Source organism: Homo sapiens, chromosome 11 (genome assembly GCF_000001405.40).
Source record: "Homo sapiens chromosome 11, GRCh38.p14 Primary Assembly".
NCBI lineage: Eukaryota > Metazoa > Chordata > Mammalia > Primates > Hominidae > Homo > Homo sapiens.
In genome coordinates, this window is record NC_000011.10 from 15,719,468 (window position 1) to 15,745,889 (window position 26,422).

At 41.1% G+C, this 26,422-nt stretch overlaps 1 long non-coding RNA gene across 7 annotated transcripts in view; it reads right to left on the reverse strand.

Moving 5' to 3' along the window:
* LOC105376567 (uncharacterized) overlaps positions 1-26,422 on the reverse strand; it is a 67,229-nt gene that overhangs the window by 18,220 nt on the left and 22,587 nt on the right. For 5 of the 7 annotated variants that reach the window (XR_931071.3, XR_931068.3, XR_001748140.2 and 2 more), the window contains exon 2: positions 6,213-6,324. The exons of the other annotated variants lie outside the window; for them this stretch is intronic. This is a non-coding gene — a long non-coding RNA (uncharacterized LOC105376567). The remainder of the gene's footprint in view (positions 1-6,212; positions 6,325-26,422) is intronic. 7 annotated transcript variants of the gene reach the window in all.

A 26,422-nucleotide genomic window follows, 5' to 3' on the forward strand; every position in this document is an offset into this window, starting at 1 on the left:
CCCATCCTCAACTGTTCATTGCATGGAACAAATTTCTATTTTAGCTTCAAGGTGGGGAAATTGTGACCCCTTCCTCAGCCCATGAATTGCTCACAAAGCAAATGAGATGAGGAAGAAGGACACCAGCCCATGTAGATCTGCCCTTCAAGTTTTCTCTCATTAGAGTCTTTACCAGAAAGGTCTGGGACTGCCCATCCACGCAAATGGGTCAAGAAGTTCGGTTGGTGGGGACTGGAATTAGGGAGCCAGCTGGGATAGAGATCCAAGCCATTTTCTCCCATCACCTTTTTACAATTTTTTTTTCTTTTTACAAATTTTTATCTCCATTTCTCTGACACCAGCAGCTTTCTCAAATGGTCTGACCTACAGTATGAAGAGGTGTGGGATAAGTGTATTACCCTCAAGACCTTACTACCAAACAGGATGTTCCCAATCCCTGAAGCTCACCTCTGAACACACAGATGAAATGTTATATTTTTACTGCAGCCTTAAAATGAAGCTTACACAGATCCTCATTAATGAATGCTGCTCCAAGAGACCTAATTCAACACTCCCTGTATCATCTTTAATAGCCCTGCCAAATTGTTGCCCAGCTTCTGCTTGGACTGTCTGATGATGGGGAGTTCTCTACCTTAGAAGGCAGCCTCTTCCATTGTTGGACAGCTCTGGCTGTTAGAATTTTTTCCCAATAGGCTCAAATGTCCTGTAAAGTTTGCCCATTGGCTCTGTACATTCATTAATTCACTTATCAAGCACATAATGAAACCCTAGTTGTATAAGACACTTTGTGCTTGAAATTAAAGTAAAAATAAGGAAGCTTCTATTTCCGAGATCAGTTAGGAAGACAGACAGAAATGCCAGTTATTTCAGTTTAGTATGTAGATTACTGTAATAAAGGCAGCAAGAATCCAGCAAAGGTATCCGCTGGAGTCTGAGAAAGGGCCAGCAGCTGAGTCTGCAGAGAACAAGGGCAAACTATGCAATGTGGCTTCCATAGCTAGGAAGCAGGACAGACCTTCCCCGCAGATGCAGTCTGGCTCCAGGGACCCCAAGCTTGAGGAAAGCCCAGAACTCCATGTGAGTCCAAAAGCTTGCAGTGAAGGAGTGGACCCTCCTCTCTGATTGGGGAACATCTCCAGGATGGACAGCGATGCCTATGACTCATGCACTTCTGCCATCTGTCTCAACACAGCAGCTGGAGGAATACTTCTAAAACATTAGATCATGTCACTCCCCATTATATTACCCTCCACAGGCTCTAGAGCACGCAGAGGAAAAGCCAAAGAGCTTACAGAGGCCAGTGTGGACTACATGATCCTGCCGTCGTTACTTTTCTGCTTGTTCTCTTAATCTTCTGATTGCCCCCTCCTCTCAGCCAGCTTCCTTACTAGAATGCTCCCAACATGCTCCCACCTTAGGGCCTTGACACTGGCTGTTCCTGCTGCCTGAGACACTTTTCCCTGGATATCTGTGTGGTGCACACCCTCCCCTCCTTCAAGTCTCTGCTTAATGTCATCTTAATGAGGCCTCCCTGACCATGCCTTTTAATACAAAAAATTCCCACACCATATCCCTGATTCCCAGCTCTATTTTTGTGTTCTCTTGACAGTTCTTATTTTCTAAAATATCTTATTTGATTTGTTTATTATGTCTATTTTTAATGTTGCCTCTCTACCCTGCTCCATGGATACACACTAGAATGTAAGTCCCTGAGTGTAGAGACTTTTTTTTGTTTTATTCACTGATATATTTCATCATCTAGAGCTGCACCTGACAGAGAGTAGGTACTTTAATAAAAATTTTGTCAAATGAATGAATGTTATCGGGGGAGAGCTCAAACCAAATACTACTTTGATATTAAATTTGTCCTTGATTTATCTTACAGTTTGTGGAGAACCAGAGTTTGGCCAATAATTCACACACATCCACATATATAGCAAACCTCTCTGACTCATTTAAACTCAAGTAGATTTATCCATTGATTCAGTATTTTATTTAAAAATTATTTATTTCATTCTGATAGATGAGCCTACTAATCTTGCCCCAACTTGGTTTCCTTTTTATACACTTATTGCCTTTTATAAGGGCTTTGACTTATGCTACTATGATGTAAAAGGAACCAATGCAATCCCTTTCTGGACAGGCAGGATGACAGCTATTGGGTCCAAAAACCAAGGAGGCCCATGTCTCTATTACCCAGGGTGGCCTGATGCCTGTAATAACTCCACTAGCCATTTCCAAGGCATAAAGGCAAAAAAGAAACCTCTCATTAAGATAAAATATATGAAGTTGAAGGGTCTCATGGGACAAATCCTGTATAAGCAAAAGAGTACTTGAGTGTGAGTCTTTCTTTTTCTTCTCTGAACTTCATGTTTTTCATCTGTTGTCTTAGTCAATTTCTGCTGCTGTAACAAAATGCCTGAGACAAAATACTGGAGGTAGTTTATAAACAACAGAATTGCTTTTTCTTTTCTCACAGTTCTAGAGGCTGGGAAGTCCAAGATCAAGGCAAGTGTCTGAAGAGGGCTTGTGTTCTGCTTCTGAAATGGCACTTTATTGCCGCATCCTCTGGACAGAACAGATGCAGTGTCCTCACAGGATGGAAGGGACAGAAGAGCTGACTAGTCCATTTGAGCCTTATAAAAAAGGGCACCAATCTCATTCATAATCACCTCCAATGGGCCTCACCTCTTAATACCATCACCTTGGAGGTTCAGCTCCAACAAATGAATTCTGTAGAGACACATGCATTCAAATCATAGCATCCATATAGTGGAAACAAGAAGCATATCTACCCCATAGAGTTGGAGTTGTTGTGAGCATTAAATGAGATCATCTATGGTGTGTGCTTAGCAGAGTGTCTGGCTGATAATAAGGCTACTTGTTAGTAGCTCTGATCAGAAGAAGTCAATATGGCACCTGGAGATAGCTTAGTTCCATCAATTCAAAGTTTAGTCCACCTGCATCCTGGCAGTTCAGAAGGAATATTTGCAACATATAGCCCTCTGAGCCCAGAAGCCCTGGCCTTCAGTAGTTAGCACTCTGAAACATAGTCTCCAGGCCTGGGCTTACACGGCTTCTATGCATGAAACTCTGAGCAGTGTGAGATGGTGAATCTGTGTGCATTTGCTCCTTTCTGTTTCTGTCTTCTGAACCTTGCTCATATACGTTTACTGAGAATTCCACTACACACCCAATATTGCCCAGCTGTCTATTTTTAATGTTGCCTCTCTACCCTGCTCCATGGATACACACTAGAATGTAAGTTCCTGAGTGTAGAGACTTTTTTGTTTGTTTTATTCACTGATATATTTCATTCCAGCCTTTTGGGCTTGAAATGAGTTGTGCCATCATAGGCTTGGTATACTCCTTTCTGAGAGGAATCCTGGTTCTACTTTCCCACCAACCTGTACATTTATTTAAACCCCAATAGGTATTTGTTGTAGGTTGAATTCCCAACAAAGCAGATTCTAAGAGTCTAAGACATAGGGTGTTTATTGAGAAGTGGCCTTGGGGTCCACACCTGTGAAAGGGAGGGGCAGAGGGAGAAGTCTAGCTGTGATGCAGTCCCAAGACAGTCTCAGACCACCCTCTGGAAGCTATGGAGATAGGAGGTCCCTTTAGGGTTGTCCTAGTTGGGTCAAGATAGCCATGACTTTATACTCCTGCACTGATCAATCACTGAATGTGGGATCCAGGGGCAGGGTGTGATCCTAGGTACCTTGGGCAGTCTATGAGAGGACCAACAACTGAAGACCCTTCTGCCAGCAAAACTTTCAGCAGCTGAGGCAACAAGTTCTTCACCTAGAGGAAACTATCTACCCAGTATGCTGTCAATCTTACTGGGCTTTGGCCTAGATTTTTTATTCAGTGTACTAGTTATTTAAGCCTACCTCAAACACTAGCTTATTTGGCTATGGCCCAAAAACTGTCCAGTTCTTTCTGACCTCTCTCTTTGGGAAACAGAATCACCATCCTGGCTCATTGACTGGTGTGAGGCTCTGACTGGAATCATCTCTTCAGACCTCAATGCCAGTACCTGTTGGATTTTGGTCATCGCTGGCTGCTTAGAAAGTACAGCTCGCTTTGTCAGCTGGGACCTCCTTGGACACTGACCCTAGCTAGGATAAAGCTTAATTTCCATACTCATGGACTCCATGCAGTGGGCCCCACTCAGGTCACAAGGACTCCATAATCAAGTCAAAATCTTTGAACCTTGTCTCTGGTCAAAGGGACTAAGTTTAGGTTCCTTTCACCCCAATATTTTTACAAAATAACAATATAAATTATAATAATATCAACCCCTCTCATTTTTATGATACCTTTTAATTTGCAGAGTGCTTTTTCATCTGTGCCTTCAGTTTTGTGCAGAACACTCCTGGAAGATAGGCATTATTCCTGTTCCCCTTCTCCAGCTGAAGTTCAGGGTGACTGAGTGACTTGGAGCATTGCCCCATAAGTGAAGTTGGGAACTAAATTCAAGGGCTTTGAATCCCAATTCTTCATGCCCTGCCTACTTCCTGCTGCTTCAGTCACCTCAGCTTTGTGTCCTACCCACTCTCTCCTCTCCTTTACTCTTTCATTTCCTCTGCTCAGTCTCCTTTCTTCCTGGTCTAGCTGCAGGCAGAAACTCTTCTGAAGATGCCAGGTTAAATAAAAGAACAGCTTTATTTATTAAGTTCAGCAAAGAGGAGTGGAGGGGAGGGATGTCAATGGTCATGTGCATTTAACAAGAAAGCCTATAGAGGGGCTTGTTTAACACAAAGACTTCACAGTTGTAAGAAAAAGGCCAACAAGCCCCTCCACATTCCCTCAAGCAAGTGACCAGGCAGCATGACTAGGCAGGGTCAGGCTGGGCATTCCAGTCCAGGAAGACTTAGGTTCAAATACAATCCACTCTTCCTACTTAAGCTTTGTGACTTCTCTGAACCTCAGTTTTCTCATCTGTTAAGTGAGGTTAATATTCCAGATAATGCATGTGAAGCACCGAGCACATTGCCTCCTATGCATCTGTAGCTTAGAAAATGGAAGTTCCTCCTCCTTCTTCCTCTGCCACCCCTTCCTGCAGCCCAGCAGGGAGTGATGAGAAGATGGCTTGAACTAGGTAGAAAGAGCAGAATATTCTCAGACCTTGGCATGCTTGTTAGGCTTGTGAGAGGAGCAGAAAAGGGAGAAGGGGGCATGTGGTATGAGGAGAGGTGGGGAATACAAACCTAGTTAGCCATTAGGCAGATGCTGGGTCACACTAGGATCTTTGTAGGACACAGCTCGGTTTTTATTTTAAGTATAAGGAGAAGCCACTAGAGGTTTGAGAACAGGGAAGCAATGCGATCCAGCTGTCGCTATAAGATCATTCTGACTAATGGTGGAAATGTTTACAAGTCAAGCCTCCTTTCCTATTATATCAGCTCTTCCAGGACAGGAAATAGGATTTTAACTTTTTTTTCTTAGATAGTTTGTTAGCATATTAGTTTTCAAGAACTGCTGTACTAAAATACCCTAGGCTGGGTAGTTTAAGTAATAGAAATTTATTTTCTCATAATTCTAGACACTAGAAATTCAAGATCAAGGTGTCGGCAGGTTTGGTTTCTTCTGAAACCCCTCTCCTTGACTTGGAGATAGCCACCTTCTTGCTATATCCTCACATGGTCATCCCTCTGTCCTAACATCCTCTTCCTATAAGGACACCAGTTATATTGAATTAGGGTCCACCCCGAGGACTCCATTTTAACTTAATTACCATTTTAAAGGCCCTATTTCCAAATACAGTCACATTCTGAGGTCATAGAGGTTAGGACTTAAACATGTGAATTTTGGGGGTCATATAATTCAGCCCATAACAATTACTGAGTTAGTTAGTTGATTACTCAGTCATTTAGTAGACTGAATAACACAGCTAAAATAAACTGAGTTTGTGAATATTGGCTGGTGTCAGGCTCTGACTGGAATGATCACTTCAGGCTCTGACTGGAATGATCACTTCCGTATTGTGTAATGCAGTGTTAGGCACACATCAGGAACTCACTAAAGGTTTGTTGAATAGATTCAGGTGTTTGGCATAGCCGTATAAAAAACATATAAAGGAAAGCTCCTTTTGATCCATATACTTTGGTGCTGTATGCATAATGACTGTGTCCTGAGACCAAGGATAGACTTTCATCCAAAGAGTTTCAGGTACCTACAAAACTTCAAGCTCAGTCAAAAATTATTACCTGGTATAAGAGGCTCATTCACTGCATCCCTGACTGGAAGCCCACAGCCACTGCTTGAATAGCACCAGGGATGAAGTCCATCACCTCAATGGGGAGCCCATTCCCTCCAGCTCTGGGTACAAAAAGAGAAGGGATAGCAAACATAAATGCCCAGGACTCAGGGAAGAAAAATTACTTGAGTAAAAGGATTGAGGCAGTGGGGTAATAGAAGGGGAAGACATCTATAGTTCTTTAAGGGTAGCAGGGATCACTCATCTCTAGCTAATATTCTCCATGAAGAAACATGTGGCCCTGTAATCAGACTTCCCAATTTATCCAAAGGACCAAGAATTCTAGGTTCTAATGTGAAATATCCTGAACTTTATAAAATCTGACTAGTTTAAACTAACAACAAAAACAACAATGATAAAAAAAAATAGACCAACAAAGAATATCTAGAGCCCAGATATTTTCATGGGTCACCATTTGGAGATTTCAATTCAGAATCATTTCTAGACTATATGGTACTTCTGTGCAAATCTAAAAAAAAAAGGTGTCACCTCTAAGCAGATGCATGGTTTCAGGAACAAAATAAGGCTGAGATTTTAATCCTCAATCATCCCTCAATTGGAACTTTGTGAAGCACATAAACTGTCCAATAATATGATTCTCTTTGGGTTATGATGTTGAAACCAACATATCTATTGGTCCTAATTCTGACAGATTATAAAACCACACAGTGCCCTTGCCTCTCCCCTTTTTATTACCAATCACACTTCAAATTACTCATTCAAAGTTCATCTTTCTAATTAGATCACAAGCTCAAGGCAGGTAGGAAATCTCTGGTTCCCTAGTTCATCCTCAGTAATAAACACAGCATCTGGCACAGCAAAGGCATCCAACAAATATTTATTCAGTAACTAAGAAAAAATAAACACAGAACAAGTCATCCCCCTTTTCAGATTTGAGAGAATCACAGATTCGAAGTCAGTTATTATAGCACCCTGGTCTTCTCTATACCAAATGTGCCCAGTTCTTTTACTTATTCTTTATAGGGCCTGGGTTCCAGACGTCTCACCATCCCGGCTAGTTTCTTCAGGACGCAGTCTAGTTCCTCAGTGGTATTTCAAAAATGTGGCTCAACACTTCAGTCTGTGACTCTAGTTACCAAAGGAATGGGAACTCAGGTTTACTCTATTAGGCATCTGATAATTTCTTCAATCTATGAAAAAACCCTCAGGCAGAAATCATTATACCATTTTCTCAAGAAGAAATGAAGGCTTCTGGAAGTTAAGTAAATTGTCTAACCAAAGTCACATTGTTTGTAAGCAGAGGGACTGGGATTCAAACTTAGATTGTCTGACTCCCCAAAGCCATGGTCTTTCTACTATGCCAGGCTTCACTGTTCCGTCAAATTATATTTAACTGCCAAGTTAGAGACTGTCTTGGGTCCAAATATCTCAAGCATGAATGAGCTGAAATTTTCCAAGCATGAAGGGTCAGACCAGGTAGCTGGGTCCATTGAGAGCACTGCAGCAGGCCACTCCATTGAGAACCAGGTGTCAGCCTCAGAAAGGGAAAGATGTCTTGGGCCAGGACAGCTGAAAGGATGTTTATGGGAAGAAAACCTGGCGGAGATTAAATCCTGTGCACCCACAACCCCCATGATCTCAGACTGCTGTTTATGGCCAGAACAGCAAAAAGCCAAACAGAAACTTTTTTCTTTTTCCTGGTAATAGCTTTTGGGATTTATCTTAGGACAAAGAATAAAGGTTCCTGACCTGGGCTAACTGCCACTCTCCTACCCCTCATCCTCTCAAAAAATAAATAAAAAATTAACTTAACCCCAAAATGAGGGCAGACAAAGGCCAAACATGTCAACTTTTCAATCTCAGCTTAGTTTCCACCTTGGGTTCTTTAGGGGTTGTCAATGACTTAATGAAGTATTTAAATTTGGGGGTGATTGTTGTCATTCTGTCTTGTTATGAAGGACATTTCAAAACAGCTTGGAAATAAGAGGGAGGCCAGAATTATTCTTTTTTGTAGTTCAGTCATCTTTGAACAAGTTCCCAAAACCTCAGCTGGAAAAAAATCAAGATAATGTTTGCAAAGCCAAAGAACATATCTTCTCTTGTTTCCAGTCTTATTTTTATCTATGAAAAATTTACAGTTAAGACAAGCACATTAAAAAGAGAACAATTGTTGCAGGAGCAAATTAAAAAACAGAATAGACAAACTACTTCTGATTCCATCTTCCTTACCCAAGTACTCTGCCTTTGTGTTTATTTCCTTCCCATCTTTTTTCTTCTGCATGTAACCAGGTTGTGATCATTCTGTCTATATAATACTAGTTTGAGTCTATATATTTTCAATGAACATTATATCATAAACTTTTAAAAACTTACAATCTCTATCATAATTGATAGCTGTATAATATAGTTTGCTTCTTGACTCTAGCATTTAAGCTGCATTTTATTAATGCATTAGATTGCTATTGTTAATGTAATAGATTGCTGGCAAACTAGTTATTGCTTAAATTTAGTTGTTCTTAAAAACCAGACATTTAACCAAATAGGCCTTATTTTATAGGGATCTGTAAATTATACAGAATGCTGATTAAAGAAGAATTAAATTATAGATTACTTGCATTAGAAGAGGATATCGAAGTCATTTAAGTCAAAATTTCAATTGATGATGTTCTCTTTTGTGTTTATGGTAAAAGTGCTCAATTATGAGACACTCTTTCCTACAGAGGCAGCCAGTTCTGTCTTGAACAACTGTGATGTCTTCCTATCTGTAACTTCCTCACTGGGACAAGAAAAAATAAGTTTCCCATAAGAGATCATCACTCTTAAAGGATTGAGGCAGTGGGGTGATAGAAGGGGAAGACATCTATAGTTTGTTAAGGGTATTCCCTTTAAGAAAGCAGTCCCAAAAGTCTCTTGATTTGTATCTAATCATGCAATACATATTAATCAAGGGCCTCCTATATGTCTCACACTTTCCTAGGCACTAGAGATAGAATAGAGAACACAAGATGCATGGCCCCAGCCTTCACAGAGCTTTGATTCCTGTGTAGACTTGGTTTGGAAAGTAAAAGTTACATCAATGGATACCTATCCCAGACCTGAGTGATGAAGAAGGAAGTCCAGAGAAAATACCACTGAAGCTGAAGTGAGAAGGTTGAGTTAGCTAGTTAAAAAATGTGGTAGGTGTTTTAGGCAGAGGAAAGAGTGCATGCAGAGCCCATAGTAGAGAGGCTAATCAGAGATGCAATCCAGGGATGCAGGCAGCATGGGTCTTGCACATGCACATTTTGATAAAGCTTTTCATTGGTGATTCTCTGGCTAATTAGAGCGGCAAATAATGTTCTAAGACTACGAAGCCATAGGGGTTAGAAAAACTATCTAGAGATGATCTAGATCGCTATTTCCCAGAGTGTTTGCTGAGGAGCATTGGTTACTTGGGTGATAAAGGTATGTACTGGGATAAAAGACTTCTGTGTTCAAATGTATTCCAGAAAAACAAGGTTAAATGAAGACAAATAGACGTATTCACTGCAGAAGTTTTTGGAACTTTTCACAGGCACATCAGCATTGTCATTCTTTAAGGGGCATTGTTACATGCAGGGTTTCTAAACATATTATACCATAATATAACTTCATGTTAAGTATCTAATGGGACTTAGTTTCCCTTGAACTTTCTTTGGGGACTGCAGATATAGACCAATCCTAGATTTTTACAAATGAGGCAACTGAAACCTAGAATGGGAAAATAACTTCTCCAAAAGGACACAGAGAAAAAGAATGGCAACCAAGTTCTCGTGACTCTCAGATCCTTGGATGCTCCAATATAATTTAATGTCTCACAGTCATCCAATTAATGTCAGTATAAGCTGGTTTTTGGCATGTACTGGAAGCCTACAATGTGCCTATTGCATTTTATGTGTAATATTGTGAAATGTTCACCACTGCCCTGAGAAGTTCTCTTCTGGCTGCAAAGAATTTGATTAGACATGTCTACCTGGATTACAGCTATCCTCTGCCATGAGGGCTTCTTCCTACTCATTCCTGATGGCTGTACTTAGGCCCTATATCCTATCAGATCTTTCCTTGATGGACCTGCTGTTCAGACAGCATTGTAAGACTAGTGACAAATGGGCTCTGGATTCAGGATACTCCAAAGAGAAGTGGACGTAGTAGTCATTTAGTCTAATTCCTCAGATAATAGAGGACAGCCATCCTCTTTGTAAATATTTGCAGGAATAGGGAGCTCATTACCTCTACTCATTCTGGGTCTGGATGGCTTCCAGAAGGAACAATTATATAAGCCCTGTACAGAGACCAGTCAGAAACCAAGTGTGGAGCTCCTTCCACTTGAACATCAGAGGCATATGGCTGTTGGATGGAAATGTGCAGCTTCAAACACCACCACCTGCTTTTCTCCTTTCCTCTGACTGCACTGCAGAGAAGATGACGGGAACCTACACTGGGAGTTTAGTGTTGGCAGCAAACAATCATCATATTTCACTTGAGGAGCAAAGAGTTTCAAGATGATTTGTTTAAAGAGAAGCAGCCATGGATTTGGCTTTGATTGCTCTTAATTCTCTTAATGAGAAAATCTATAAAGAGCACCAGGAGGAAGAGAGATTTTTATTGTCTTTCTTTTTTTAATGACAAAAAGAGACATCATGAAGAGTGAAGGGGGCTTTCTTGTGGGTGCCAGGGTCTATTTCCCATAAGAAGAGGCTGGCTAAGCCCCAGCTCCCTAGGAAGGAACTCATGAGAAAACGACGCAGTGGGGGAACAATAAAACTTCCAGGGAAGGGTGTGTGTATTCAGAGGGAAAAGAGGAGCAGCTGAGGGAACAAAGAGCTCCTGATGAAATCAAGATTTGTGTGTGGCTTAAGTATGGGGCCTCGGGACAGGCGAGACTGTTTGGTGAAGGAATCTTCTTCAGGAAAATATGGGGAGCTTGCAGACACCGTAAATTTACACTATAGCTTATTCTAAACCTAATAATCACACTGTAAGAGGTGGCAGTAGCTCCCTCAAAGGAAGGTCCAAGAGGCAAGGTTGATTTATGTCCCTGTGTTTGTCAGCAGCCAAGGTGGCCACACCCTTCCTGGGCCCTGATTTTGTGGACAACTGTTTGCTTCTCTAGTGCCTGTGGATTCTCACCTCCCTGGCTGCCTTCAAGTTCCATCCCAGAACAAGGTCATGTCCATTAATCAGCTGTCATAGGCCTGGGAGAGAGCTTACAGTTTCCAGGCCTGGCTTAGTCCTTGCTGATCTTGTCCTAGGCCCAGCCTAAAGGGACATTTCGAGCCAAGGAAATCAGCTTGCTGTCAGTGAACTTGCAGAATGTTAGGGCCAAAGGCACCTCTGGAACAATTACGTTGTTGGACCAATTAACAGATGAGTAGACGGAAGCACAGCTGGGGAAAGTGACTTGCTCAGGTTCACATGGTTGCCAAGAGCCAAAGCCAGATGTTCCGAATCTCATGCCAGCTCTTTCCTGGGCTTGTGACAGACAAGGGCCAAGTGTGAATAGAGAATGCTGTGCTGCCTTCTTGTCATGCACCCCATGTCCACATAACGCACATACTGAGACAAACTCAGCTAGAGCTGGGGGAGGATCATGACACCAAAGCCAGCCTCTGCTTCAGATGATCAGACCACCCCAGGGACATCTTCAGAGCAGGATCACACAGAAAATGAAGTAGTTATCAACAACACCAGCTGGATAGGCTCCTGGCTTCCTGATATGCAGTTTTCTTTAAATATTCCTTTTATGATGTGACTTTTCTAGTCAAGAACTTTCAGAAGCTCTTCATTGCCCAGAATATTAAGCTCCTCTATCAGCCTAGGTTTAGTCAGGAAGATAGAGCCTCTGGGACGTTATGGGAATATAGGATTTAAAACAGGAATTAGGATTCACATCCCAAGTCCTCAGTAACAGAAAGGAAGATTCTGGAAGTCAGTAAGTGACCACTCTAAGTAGATAACATGGGCCTCAGAGTGGATGCTCTTAGATTGTTTGGCCTCAGCCAATAAATAGCCAACAGGCATGTGGACCGTGAATCTAGCTGGTCTTGTTCATAACCTGGATGTCAACACCTAAAAATGAATTGGTACAAAATCAACTACATCTATAAATCCTTGTTATGCGCCAAGACCTTTGTCAGGAGCTTGGGAAGGTACAAAAGTGAATGAATCATGGACTTAATAACATTCTTTTATTCTTGAAACATTTTCTTTGATGACCCTGAATTGTGTAACACTTGAGTTACTCAGTTATATCAGGCACATTTCACTAAAAGTCATCACATTTTTTTTTGTTATATCTTGAAGCATAACTTTGCCAAGGAGGGAGGGAATTATGAAAGGCATAATTGGACACTTTAAGTATGTGAAGTTTATTGTATGTCAATTGTACCCCCAGGAAAGTTGTGGTAAAAAACTTAGTTGCTTTCTAAATTTACTCCATGAACTTAGCTTGTTCATTGTGACACACGTGGAATTCGTTCCCTTTCATCTTCTTTTTGCCTAAATCATTGTTTCTTATGTGGGCTTCTGTGATATTTCCATTAAGTGTGGGTAGAAATAACTATCCACATATTTTTATGTAGTACATACTAAGTATTGTTTGAGGTCTTTCAGGTCAATGGATAAAAAATATAGACAGTAAAGTTCTGGAAAGTCTTAATTTCCCTTCATAAGTCTTTTCACCATATTTTCACTTGTATTGCCTAGAGCTTAACCTTGATTATAATATGGAATCTCTGTAGACAAATGAATGTGCACACATACACATTTCTTTAGTCTTTAATTTCTGTGAATATTATATCTTTAATATTAGCCATGTGGAAACCCAGAATTCAAAGAGAATTATACTGTTCTGAAGAGCAAAGGATAAAATCTATTTACTCCCCTTCTTTCTTACTCTACCAACGAGGGATATGGCTTTATTTCCTTAAATGCTGTTTCTCCTGCTAATTGTTTTAGAATGCTTCTATGATAGCCTCTGTTTTTCTCATGAGTAATATTTTATCACCCCCTAAGGAACTTGTTTTACATTCTCCAATAGGTAGTCTGGAAAGATAAGAAATATTTTGAATCAAAATGACTTAATTGCTAGGGTACTACCTTAAATGTCAGAAGAGAATATCAGAAGTCATTCCACTTACCTTCTAATTTTTATGGGAGTTGTCATGGAATTGGCAATGGGATATAATTGGAAAGGTATTAGAGAAACTACTGGACTATTTTGTGGGATCTCATTTACAAAATCTCTGTGAACGTTCTTTCTCTGGGATTGTTTTATAACCAGGTGCCAGTTATAGTTTACACTTATGATATCAGCTAAAGCTTCAAGGCAAACACTTTCCTAAGGTTTAGAAAGATAGACCAGTCTCTGTTTTCCTTAAATTACTCTGGGACCCAGTGAGGAAATAATGACAGGGGAAGAGGGTCATAGTCATACTCCCTGTGCCTATGGGGACAAAACCCTTTTCCATGTGGTCACCACATTCTTGGGGTGGTATTCATGCATCAAACCAACACCTATCAGCACCTGTTATGTCCATGGCACGCTCTTAGTTGCAGTAAGGATGGCTGGAGGTTCTTGTAGCTGACTAGGGAGGGCAAGGTGCTGCTTTAGATTGGATAGCCCAAGAATTAGATCTTGAGAAGTGGAGATGAGGAAAGGGCAGGTAAGACAGAGAAGGGAAGGAAGCCAATGTCAGTTATTGAGTGGGTCACTGCTGTAGGTCTCGGCCAATCAGCACATTTCCACCTCCTTGCTGTTGTGATTGTTCAGAGATGGGCACTTGGCTTAACTTGGTCTAATCTGTAACCCCAATTGTTTGTTAGTCGGGGAAGTGAGTCTCTGGACATTAAGCAAGGAAGAACATAGACCCAAGTGCAATTGGTAGACATCTCGTGACCATGGAGTCAACCTTAAGATGAAGCTGAACTGTGGATGGTAGAACAAAGATGTAGAAAGAAACTGAATATTGGTGATTTCTTGAACAAACCTACCTTAGGACTCTTCCTTTACAGGAGCCAAAATACTGCCTTGTTGCTAAGCTAATTTGAGTTGACTTTTCTGGTACTTCCTACATAAAGACTCTTAACAGAGATATTGATAGTGTATACAAAGTATTTGGTGTAGAAACTGACATATAATAAGTGAAACATAAATGGTGCCTATAATTACACAAAATGAAGTGATAAACAGAAAAATTCAATCTTACGTCAACCTCTCAAAATTGTGTGTTTTCATTTGTATATACACTTGTACATATGTATGTACATATGTACGTACAAGTGTACATACACGTGTACATATGTACGTACATATACATATGTACACACATGAGCCTGAACCTCAGGCTGTATACATGTACATATATAAAGACATGTAGAGGAGAGTACATGATAAACACTACACTGCCAACTCAACCAGCCAAGCACTGTCCAACTCAACCAGCCAAGCTGCAGAGAATGAAATTCTTCGACATACCACTAAGTCAATAAGGACCTATCTGGTAGAACATCAGGCTCCCATCTCTCCCATTAGGTGTAATTAATCTTGCAACCAAGGACATGGTGGAAGCTCCTGCCCACCTAATCCCACTGCAAAGGCCCATGTCACAGGTCTACTTCTCTCAGTTCCTGCTTGGCCTTCTGTTCCCTGTTGTCTGAAGCTCCAGCCTGAATCCAGCACAGCTGATTACGGCTCTGGCAACTATATCATCCTTTTCCAGTTGTTTTACCCATGAAACCAGTTAGGATCATTTTTTTCATGCATGCACATCCTTTTCCCACGGTGTGTCCACTATGCCAGGTTGGCTGGGGTTAGGGGTAACATTGTGCTAAGAAGTAGTGATCTTCCATAATTGTGGGGGTAGTATCTGCTCTTCCTGAGTCCTCGAATAGTTTTCAGTTCTCTGAATTGCTGCTTGTCAAGATAGTTTGAAAATAAAGCATTCCCCACAGCTATTGTCCCTGGCACTACCACCAATGCCCCAAGTAGAAGGGAAGACCTGAGGTTCAGAGGTTCTTCTCACTTGGCTTGTCTCCATGAAGAAGAGACAGTTGGCACCTACCACCAGGATTGTTCTGCAGTCTCCCCCTGGCATCCCCATCTGGCACCCATGCCCAGAAAAAATCTCTCGCTTCTCTATATCCAAGATCTTCCCTATTTCCCAGTGCAGAACAATTGGCAATTCAAATTCTCATGGTATTCTCCATTGCTTCTAATAGAAAATTAGAAAAAAGAATAGTCTGAAATTGTTACATTTCTTCCATGGTTTAAGAGATCTTCCGTGACAACTTTATTGTATAATTATATATAAATGTGTCTGCCCCTTTCTCTGGACAGAAGGACTTTGGCAGCAGGAATTGCAGTCTCTCTTGTTTATACCTATACTCCTAGCTCCTGATTTGGTATGTGCTACATAGCAGAAACTCAATCAACATTTTAAAGATAAATAGCAAAATAGGTAGATGGATGTGTGGATGGATGGATGGATGAATGGTTAGATGGATAGGTGACTGGATGATAAATTAATAAATCCATAACTGACCCAGGAGTCAAAATAATGCCTCATGGGGCAAGTCCTTTGAGCTAGAAAAGAATAAGAAACGTTGGTATTATTTACTACAGCCTAAAAGATCTTCTCATATCTTTGATCTTATTGATCATCCCAACAATGGTAATGGTGATGTTATTATCTAGTTTACAGATGAGGAAACCAAAGTCCAAAGAGGTTAAAGAAGTTGCCTGAGTCACCAACTAGGTACTGTTCCTCGCTAGGTCTAAAATCAAGTCCTATGTATCAAAGCCCAGACTGTTTCCACCACTGAGCTGCCTCTTACAAGAGAGAGTGGAAAACCTCTAAATTCTTGAAATAACATTAAACATTTCATAGAAATAAATGTTTAGTGTGTAGATTAACTATTTGATGGTAATATGAAAGAGTACAGAGAAAAATGAACATAGGAATAAAATGAGTTATTGCAGAAGAAATACACATTTGTATTTAATGTGATTTTACTTTCTTTTCTTTCCTTCATAAACCACCAACTTGCAACAATTAGGTTGTAGTTATAGGCAGCTTAGAGAAGGATGTTTTGAATTAACAACTAAATTGTCAGGTTTCTTTGTGAAGCATTTTATTGTCGAGTACACTTGGAGGGAATCAGTCCCAGGGGAAGCCTATTTGCCATTCATTTCACTCTGTTGAACAGATGACTTGCCCACAAAACATTCCTTCCTTTATTCTCTCCAGCCCTCGACACTCCAGCCATTTTCTTGGGCCACCAGGACTGTGCACAATATTCTCAGAATGGGAAGGGACCTTAGGAAATGGCTAGTGTGAGTCCTTATCTACGCAGGAATCCTTCGATCTCCTAAAATGAGGTCACACAAATTCTGCTTGATCACTGAGCATAATAGGGTGAGTGTGGAGAAGTGGTAGAAGTTCAAATTCAAGCTTTTCCCTAGCTCATCACTAGCTCTGGGATCTCAGATAAGTTCCATAACCTCTCTCACTTTTCATTCTTTCATGTCAGTATTCAGGACTTGGGTGAAGACTTTATGATCAAAAACATACAAAAAGCCTTGTACAGACCCTGGCTCATGGTCGGTGCTCAATAAATGGTGGTATTCCATTTCTCCCTGCCTTTATTGTTAGAACCCTTAAAATGTTGTGGGAATGTTTTCCTTTGTAGCTTTCTAGTTCTGGTTTCTCTGACCATGAGGAGCAAGTCTTCCTCATGTTCACCTTTCAAATATTGGCAAATAGTTCTCACTGCCCTCCCATGCCACCTTTTCTTCCACACAAAACAGCCTTGGGCTCTTCAGCTCTTTCTCACCTGGTGTGGTTTGTCATCCCCACTGTATCCTGGGCTCCTTGATCTGCATGCATCCTGCTTTGCCAGTGATCCTCTCACAAGGTCCCAATTCCAATCAGAAGCTATGAGGATGGGGAAGTGTCTCTTCTTCTTCTCTTCTTCTACCCCAACTTCAGATTCTTTGCACCTTTGTAAGTTCCTGACTCACCTACTCACTGATGGCCCAGGGTAGGAAAGGCTGTGTTGTTGGATTCAGACCAGATACAAGAGAAGATATCGAGAGGAAGGTAGGTCTTCAGATGTCCTTGATGTGACCTCACATGTGTAACTTCCTCTGTGTCCCCACAGCATCCACCCTCCCTCCCATGTTTACTGGAGAGGGACTCATATTCCCTTGTTCTCTTGTCTTCTGATGATGATGATGTTAAGGATAATTTTACTTCTCCAAGGACTTCTGAGTCCCCAGGACACATGAACACAATCTGTGGATGAGCAAGGACCTGTGTTCACACATGTAAATGACCCTTGATTCCTCATAAACATCAGAAGTTATTGCCAAGAAAGGCCAGTAGTTGGGGTATCAGCCAAAGTGGGTCCTGCTCCATTCCCATGCCAATTATTGATGCATTTGTCAAAAGCTAAGGCAATGATCAAAATCACAAATATGGGCTGAAATCTTTAAGGTGTATCCAAAGCATCTGAATACCTAAAAAGATTTGTGATAAACTGTGGGCAGATTTCTGAGATTTCAACAGCTCTTACTCTAATGTCTGATTTATTTATTATTAGAAAATCAAAGAACTCAAATACTTTATGCTAATGAAATCTCCAGGCCAAGTCTTTAAACATGTAAACTTAAAAGAGAATTAAAGGGAGAGGCATCTAATTTGGCAGCAACTCAAGTATATAAGTTCAGAACCAGGCCCAGAAAAGCATGGGCTAACTATTAGGAGGCAGCTTGTTACAAAGCTGAGTCACCCATGATGCATAGTCAGAGGTGACTGGGGGCAGAGGAGAAACATCAGGCAGGTGCACACTGACATAGTTCCCTTTGCCTTCTTTCCCCCAAGAGCCAGGGTTTGGAGACTAGCTTGTTTCTTCATGCAGGTTATGTAGAAGGGAGCAGACTGGAGACCTGTACTCAAAAATATTGTTTTGCAAACCCAGGGGATTGAAAATCCAACCTTTCTTCAAAATCATTTTGGGTCATTTGGTGAGTGAAAACTCTGAATTAAAGACTGAGTTTTGGAAGTACTCTAGTAGTACATAAAACTTCTGTCTCAGGATAGAAGAGAAAGCAATGCTTTCACTGACTCTGAGCACAACCTGAACCTCAGGCTGAAGATAGAGAGGGTGTACTGACTGGGTACAGAATCTGTGGATGGCTAAAACACAGTGGGATATGACAGGTTATTCCAAGGCCATTGGAGCCAAAGTACCCCCCATGGCCTGTGCCAGCATGTCATATGGAAGTTGTCTTTTTAAGTATCATTTTAAAACATTTTTTGTCTTTTCATGGGAGGTAAGGCATCATATTCTAGAATGAGCTAACAAATGCTTCATTAGGAAACTAACTTTTTTTGGATCCCTTACTTTTTAACGCATATCTCATGTATGTTCTCACAATTAATCCTTACAAAATCCAACCCACTAGATCAAATTTATTGCTCCTCTTTTTCCCCAATGAGAATACCAAGATGCGAAATGTCTCAGAGTGACCTTCTCAAGATCACAGGGATTGGTCACTGAATCCCGAATCATTTCCTTCTAGACAATGCCACTTGGCAGTGCCCTACAAAGGCTTGAGTCCCAAGAAGAGACAACCTGGAGTAGGGAAAAGAACTTTAGACAGATCTACATTCAAAATGTAAAGTTTGTTAAACTCACCAGCTATGAGAACTGGGGCAAGTCACTTCACCCTATATCTCAGTTTTTCCATCTGGAGAATAGAAAGAATCATCCCTTACTTTACGGAGTTGTTGTGATGACCGAATGAGGTGACCACACGAGAATGTTCTGCACGTGCTTAGTGTATATGGTTGGTGCTTAATATAAACACACTGAATCTCATTCAGGCTCCAGGCAGTAATTTCAATAAGGAAGCTAAGAGAGAGGTGCAAGAAAGGGATATGGGGCATCGCAATTGGAGGAGGGCTCTGCCCAGAAGTGTCTGTGAATGTAGATCAGAAGCATGTTTTGCCACTTTTCCAGCTTGGTAGAGATCAGATATCCCACTGTGCGTGATGTCCGAGGGAGAACAAATATAGATGCCCTCATCTTTTCTGAATCATTGATTGCATTTGTCTTGTGAAAAATTCTATTGCTGTCTTTATGGCAAACTGAAAAAAAGTATTTTTGCTCCTCGTTTATCCAAGAATAACACAATCCCCCCGCAAATAGCTATTTTATTATGACCGCAATCAAAGCTGAAAACAATTTCATTTTCCTCCTTTGAGGTCTTCAGAAACAAGTTTAATTTCATAATAAAGTGAGGCCGCACAGGGTTTGTTTCTTAGAGACAGCAGACAGGGGTATGAAGCCAGAGATCCAGGAGTTAGAGCTGGGCCTGTGTTGGGGTGGGGGGCTTTTCTCCAACCTGTGCTCCAGATGGCTTGGAAAGCATTTCGAAAGCCATTTGCTGTGCTTTTTCCCCGCAGGCTTTGACCAAACAGGAAGGCAGAGCAGGGATTCACTTCACTTGGAAGCAGGAAAAGGGAAAATATTCATTCATGCAGGAGAAATCTTGAGCTTCAGCAGGCCATGGTGGGGCTAAAGGACTTCCCAGAGAGGGAAATGGGCACCTCTCGGTGCTGGCAGCTCAGTTGCAAGGCTCTGCCTATGGCCTTCAGCCTGGAAAACAACATTTCCACTTCCACTGCCCTAAACCAGACACCTGAGTCATCCTAGATATTCCCATATCCCCACATGTCTTTAGGTGTTATGTCTTCTTATTTCTCTCTTGAGAGCTTCTTGAATTCACCTGTATCCTTTCACCCACTGCTGCTCCCCTTGCTCAGACACTATTATCTTGCTCTCACCTGAACTATTACAACAGTCCCTGACTGATCTCTGCTTCCACCTTATCCCCATCCATTCTTCCTCCACATCACTGGGTCTCCCTTATATTTTATTTATGTAATTAAATAATTATTAATATAGACAGGGTCTGGGTATGTCATCCAGACTGGTTTAAAGTGGCACAATCTTGGCTCACTGCAGCCTCAAACTCCCGGGCTCAAGAGGCCCTCCCACCTCAGCCTTCTGAAAACAGGACTACAAGTGGATGCCACCATGCCAGGCTAATTTTATTTTTTATTTTTTTAGAGACAGGGTCTCACTTTGTGGTCCAAGCTAATCTAGAACTCCTTGCCCTAAGTGATCTTCCCGCCTCCACCTCCCAAAGCTCTGAAATTGCAGGCACGAGCCACTGCACCCAGCCTCTACCTTGTATATTAGTTCCCTACTTAAATCCTCCAATGTCATTCAGTTACCTTGAGCATTAAGTTCCAATTTCTTAGCCTGGTACATAAGACTCTCCATTACTCGGCCTCTGCTTACCTCTTGAGCCTCATCTTCCATCATCTCTCCACCCTTTGCAACCTAAACTCCAGTCTTGCTCAGCTATTGACACTCGAAGCATGCCTCTACTTACTGGCACTTGGTGCTTTACCTGAAATATTCTCCTTCCCTTGGCAGCCAGAGGAATCCTTACTGTCAAAATCCAGCATCTCCTACTTCGAGAAACCAACCTGGGTCCTCCTCTGTATACACCCTTCAGACTGTTCTATTTTTATTTGCTTATATACTAGTATTATCTATTTGATTAGTACCTCCTTGAGTCAGGCACTTTCATATCTGACTGGTCTTTGTGGTCCCTTGTGACCAACACACTCCTGGAATGTTATGGGAGGGAGGTAATGAAGGAAGGAATGACAAAAGAAAAGGAAGGAGGAAGGGACAGGACAAGAGAAAGAAGAAAGAAGGAAACAGGCAGGCAGGCAAGAAAGGAGGGAGGGAGAGGAAGGAAGGAAGGAAGGGAGGGAGGGAGGGAGGGAGGGAGGGAGGGACGGAGGAATGGAGGGAAAGACTGCTCAACCTACCAAGACATCTCTTCTTGGTTTCCCAGAGATCTTTCCACTTGGAGATATAAAACATAAACTTATATAGAACTCTGGGCTGTTAATAAAACAGCAAAGGAAAGTGTGCATGTGTGTGTGAAGTGTGTGTATGTGTGTGCATGTGTGTGTGCATTCCCAAGTGCTTGCACATGTGGGCTGTGTGATTTGAAGAATGGTGGGGCTGGTACTAACAAAAAGCCTAAATATTGATGCATAGAAGGAATTATTCTTTTCTAAGACTTTCATAAAAATGGGTCTAGATTCTCATTGACATATTTTCCAGCATTTTGTGATGAAAGTTCACAGTGTAGAAAAGTTGGAAAATTGTACTGTGAACACTTATATACCCACAACTTAGATTCTACAATTATAATTTTATAATATTTGCTTTATTATACACTTATTGATCCATTCATCCATTCCTCATCCATGCATAAATTTAACTTTTACATGCATTTCAGAATAAGTTCTAGACACCAGTAGTTTACATTCCTTAGCCTTCAGCATACATGCCATATGACCATTAGATTTGTTTGTAATCCCCTCTTCCTCCAAAATGGTTCTTGATCAAAGCAAGAATATATTAAGACCCTTCCCCCAAAATTGCAAAAGACAAAAGTTAAGCACTAAAAAATAAAGGGATAATAATGGGAGAGGAAAAAATTTTATCCAAAATTTCTGGTGAAGAAAATAACAGCAAGTAAATGCAAAAAATACCTCTGAGTTCCTAGAAACCAAAAATTATATTAAGTATTGGCTTTAATATTCTTGTAACTGCTCTAGTAGGGACAAATTTTTCCAAATTTTGATACTAGGAATTGGTCAGAGGAACATAGGTAGAAAGGGTGCTTAGTAATATTGAAAACAAAGCCAATATGGTGTACCGATTAAGGACCTAGACTCAAACCAGAGGGTTGAGTTCAAGTCTAGTTGTTACCACTTACTAGTTGTATGAGCCTGAGCAAAGGCATTTAACCATGTGAAGATTCTATTCCCTTATCTACAAAATGAGGGTCTCGCAGTACCAGCCTCATCTTGTTTATTTTGTGACTTTAATCAGATAATGCCCATAATTCACTTAATACAATGCTGGACACATAGTAAGCACTCAATAAGTGTAATTATTAAAGGAGGAGAAAGAATTTCTTCAGGGGAGGGTGAAATTATAACGTTAAAGCATAGCTTTATGCAAGCTTTTCTTAGGGTAGATGTGTTAATATTCAGTAATTCTATTTTCTTTTAATCTAGTTAAGTACAACGAAAAAGCTAGGAACTCCTGAGCAATGTGAGAGATATCACCGATTGCTTATCCAAAAATGATCTCTACTTTTTTCTAGACTTGAGTAAAAGCCACAAAGGCCACTCCATGCTCTTTCTGTTTTTGGTATTTGGGGCAGACCAGGATGGCATCCTACAAGATAATGGAGTCTCAATATGGAAGGAGGTTGGATCCCTGAATTGCTGCATGGAAGAGAGCTGCCTACCACCCTGAACATCTACTTTGGATTACTACAGTAGTAAGAAATAAAATTACATTGTGTTTGGGCTATTATACATTGGTTGGCTGTATTCAATACAGCAGTTTAGCATATATTAAGGAATACAATTTATTTATTAAATGCAACATATGGATATTTTGCCCTCCTGGAGTCCCATATCTACTGGAGAATAATATTATATATGAACACATACAACAAGATAAATATAAGTATATTCTCTTAGTCTCTAGTAAAGTTATTTGTCCCTAGAAACTCATCTTTGTTTTCTTAAAAGAATATAAAAAAGTAAATGCTTGAAAGGCCTGCTAGGGCCAGAGGTTGGCTTTCCAGGGCTTTTGGTTCTGTGGCCCTGCCGTGCTGTGAGACAAGAAGAGTATTATGTTCCCTTCCAAGGGCCCAAAGTAGAAAAAAGCAAACTAAATGGGCGAACACAGCTACTGAATAATGGGATCCCTTCCTTACTCACAAAGTCTGCAGTGCTCACTGATGCTTTTGTTTGTATAGTGCTTCCATAAGGAAAATTATTTCTAGGGGGCATCCACAAAGAACTTGTGAGGTCTGCACTCATTTAGGTATGGAGAAAAGGGGAGGCATTTCAGATACCTTCATGATTAGAGCTCTTCCAGAAAATGTGCAAGGAACAAGCTTGGAGAGCACAAAAGAGGAAATGTTTTTCCTAGCCAAGTCAGAGAAAGCTTCAAAGAGGAACTGACTCATCTTGAAAGATAAGTCAGAATCCACCAGTCTAGAAAAGGATCAAGGGCATTCTGATCAGAGAATAATAAATGGATTTTAGCCTTGTTAGGCCATGGCCTTCACGCATTTCCCGATTATTGGGGCTTGGTGCCTGACCCTGTTGCACCACCATAGCAAATGTGGTTAGAATCACCCTTATCACAGCCGCTTGTATTTCTGCCGGGTTACCTAAGGACAGGGACATAAAATTCACTCCGATAAGGGCTTATGTGCATCCCAGCAATCTTGTCAATTATCCCTGGGCTGATTTGCACGCCTGCTCCTTCTCAGCTCCAACACTGGCTGGCAAAGAGGCCACTTCCTTTTATCGGTGTCTATTGTGCTGTCAGGCTTGGTTTACAACACAATAAGCTTACAGACACTTACAATTAATGAGCTTCTCATGAGTGTTCACAAACACATTAAAAATGAGCAGGTAGCAAATTATCTATGGGCCCCAATAATCTGCACTTACATAAATATCCAGTTTTTAGTAGACTGGAATTGTCTAAAAGTCCCTCATCATTTGTCAGGTGGGATGTCAGTTTAATGGGCCCCTGAGCATGTTTATGGGTCACTCTATCCCACTAAACTGTCTAAATTATCTGCCTGCTCCCTCTGCTTCTAGAAACCCACTCATGCCTGAAAAGGTGGCTCCAGAATATAACCTTAGCCAAACTTGAAATCTGGGTATTTGAACTCCTGGTTCTTGGGGAATCCACTATGAAATTCTGCAAAAAGTTCTGTTTTTTTTCCAACATACATATCCACGAGAGCTGCAAATATGGACAATAAAGAAGAAAGCAGTTATGGATTTGGTTGGAGTCTGCCTGCCACTTGCTAGCTGTGTAATTTTGAGGCAAGTTACTTAATGTTTCTGAGCCTCAGTTTCTTTATCTGCAAATGGGGATAAAAATAACAGATTTGACATAAAGATTAAATGAAACCAAGAGTATAAGTAATAGCAAAGTGACACGCACTCTGCACCAATGGTTGTAAGTGTTTTTGTATTAGCTCAGTTTATCCTCACCACAATCTTAGAGGAAAGCACTATTGTGTAACTCCATTTTGCAGATGAGAAAACTGAGGACCTGAAAGGCTAAAGCTTTTATTTAAAGTCATATAGCTGGTCAATGATCGACCTGGGATTCAAACACAGATGCTCTGACTCCAAGCATCTTGCTTATTTAAGTACTGTGCTACGCTACCTGGAACAGTACCTGGAAAATACTTGGTTTTCTGTGAATGTAAGGAAGCTAGAGAGATGAACACAATTTGTGTTCTGAATTTAAGAAAATACAAATCTGTTAGAGTGTATTAGTCTGTTCTCAACAATGCTAATAAAGACACACCTGGGAGTGGATAATTTATACAGGAATGAAGTTTAATGGACTCACAGTTCCACCTGGCTGGGGAGGCCTCACAATTATGGAAGAAGGTGAAGAAAGAGCAAAGGGACATTGTATTAGTCCATTTTCGTACTGCTGATAAAGACATACCTGAGATTGGGAAGAAAAAGAGGTTTTAATAGACTCACAGTTCTACGTGGCTAGGGAGGCCTCACAATCATGGCAGAGGGCAAGGAGGAGCAAGTCATGTCTTACATGGATGACAGCAGGCAAACAGAGAGAGAATTTATGAAGGGAAACTCCCATTTTAAAAACCATTAGATCTTGTGAGGATTATTTACTATTATGTGAACAGCTATTTACTATTATGTGAACAATTATTATTTGGAGACCCACGCTCATGGGTCTTTGATTCAATTATCTCCCACGAATCCCTCCCATAACACGTGGGAATTATGGGAGCTACAAGATGAGATTTGGATGGGGACACAGAGCCAAACCGTATCAAATGTCTTACATGTCTTACATGGCAGCAGGCAAGAAGAGCTTGTGCAAGAGAACTCCCATCTATAAAACCATCAGATTTCATGAGACTTATTCACTACTATGAGAACAGTAGGGGGGGAACCGCCCCCATGATTCAATTGTCTCTACCTGGCCCTTCCCTCGACATGTGGGGATTATTACAATTCAAGGTGAGATATGGGTGGGCACAGAGCCAAACCATATCACAGAGAGATAAGACCATTTGAACTCTTGGATAGGACTATCACTAAGGTAGCCATGTTATTAATTTTTATTGTTGCATAACAAATTACCAAAAATTTAATGGCTTAAAACAGCACCTGTTTATTATCTTACAGTGTCCATGGGTCAGGAGAGCAGGCATAGCTCATCTGGGCCCTCTGCTCGGGGACTTGCAAGGCTGCAGTCAATGTGTCTGCTGGGCTGCATTCTTTTTGGAGTTCAGGGTCCTCTTCCTGCTCACAAGATGGCTGGCAGAATTCAGTTCCTTGCTTCTGGAAGACTAAGGCCCTCAGTTCTAGAGCCTGCCTGCAGTTCCTGAGGCCCTTTCAATAGGCAGTTCACATCTTGACAGCTTGCACCTTAACAGGCCCTCAGGATAATCTCTCTCCGTTTAGTCTGCTAAGACAGTCTTACATATAAGGTAACATAATCCAGGGAGTGACTATCCTGTCACCTTTACCATATTCTGTGGGTCAGAAGCAAGTCATAGGTTCTGTCTGCATTTAAGAGGATATGACTACAAAAGGACATGACTCACGGGTCAGCACAGCATGTGTCTGCCATACCATACAACCTGGTGATCAACTGGGACACTTTGGAGAGTGAAAAGATGCTATTCATAATGATTCTGGGACCACAGACATAAACCAGGACTGTCCCAAGAAACCAGGGAATATGATCATCCTGGCTACAAACAACACAGGCAGTTTAATATGAGACTAGTGGAGGCAAAGTGTAATTTTGACCAGGTGGATCTGAGAATACACTTGACCATTGATCAACATGGATTTGAGCTGTGCAGATCTACTTATATGCAGATTTTTTTCAACCAAACTCAGATAGAAAATACAGTTTCCCAGGATGTGAAACCTGCATATACCATATAGGGAGGGCTGACTTTTTGTATATATGGGTTGTGCA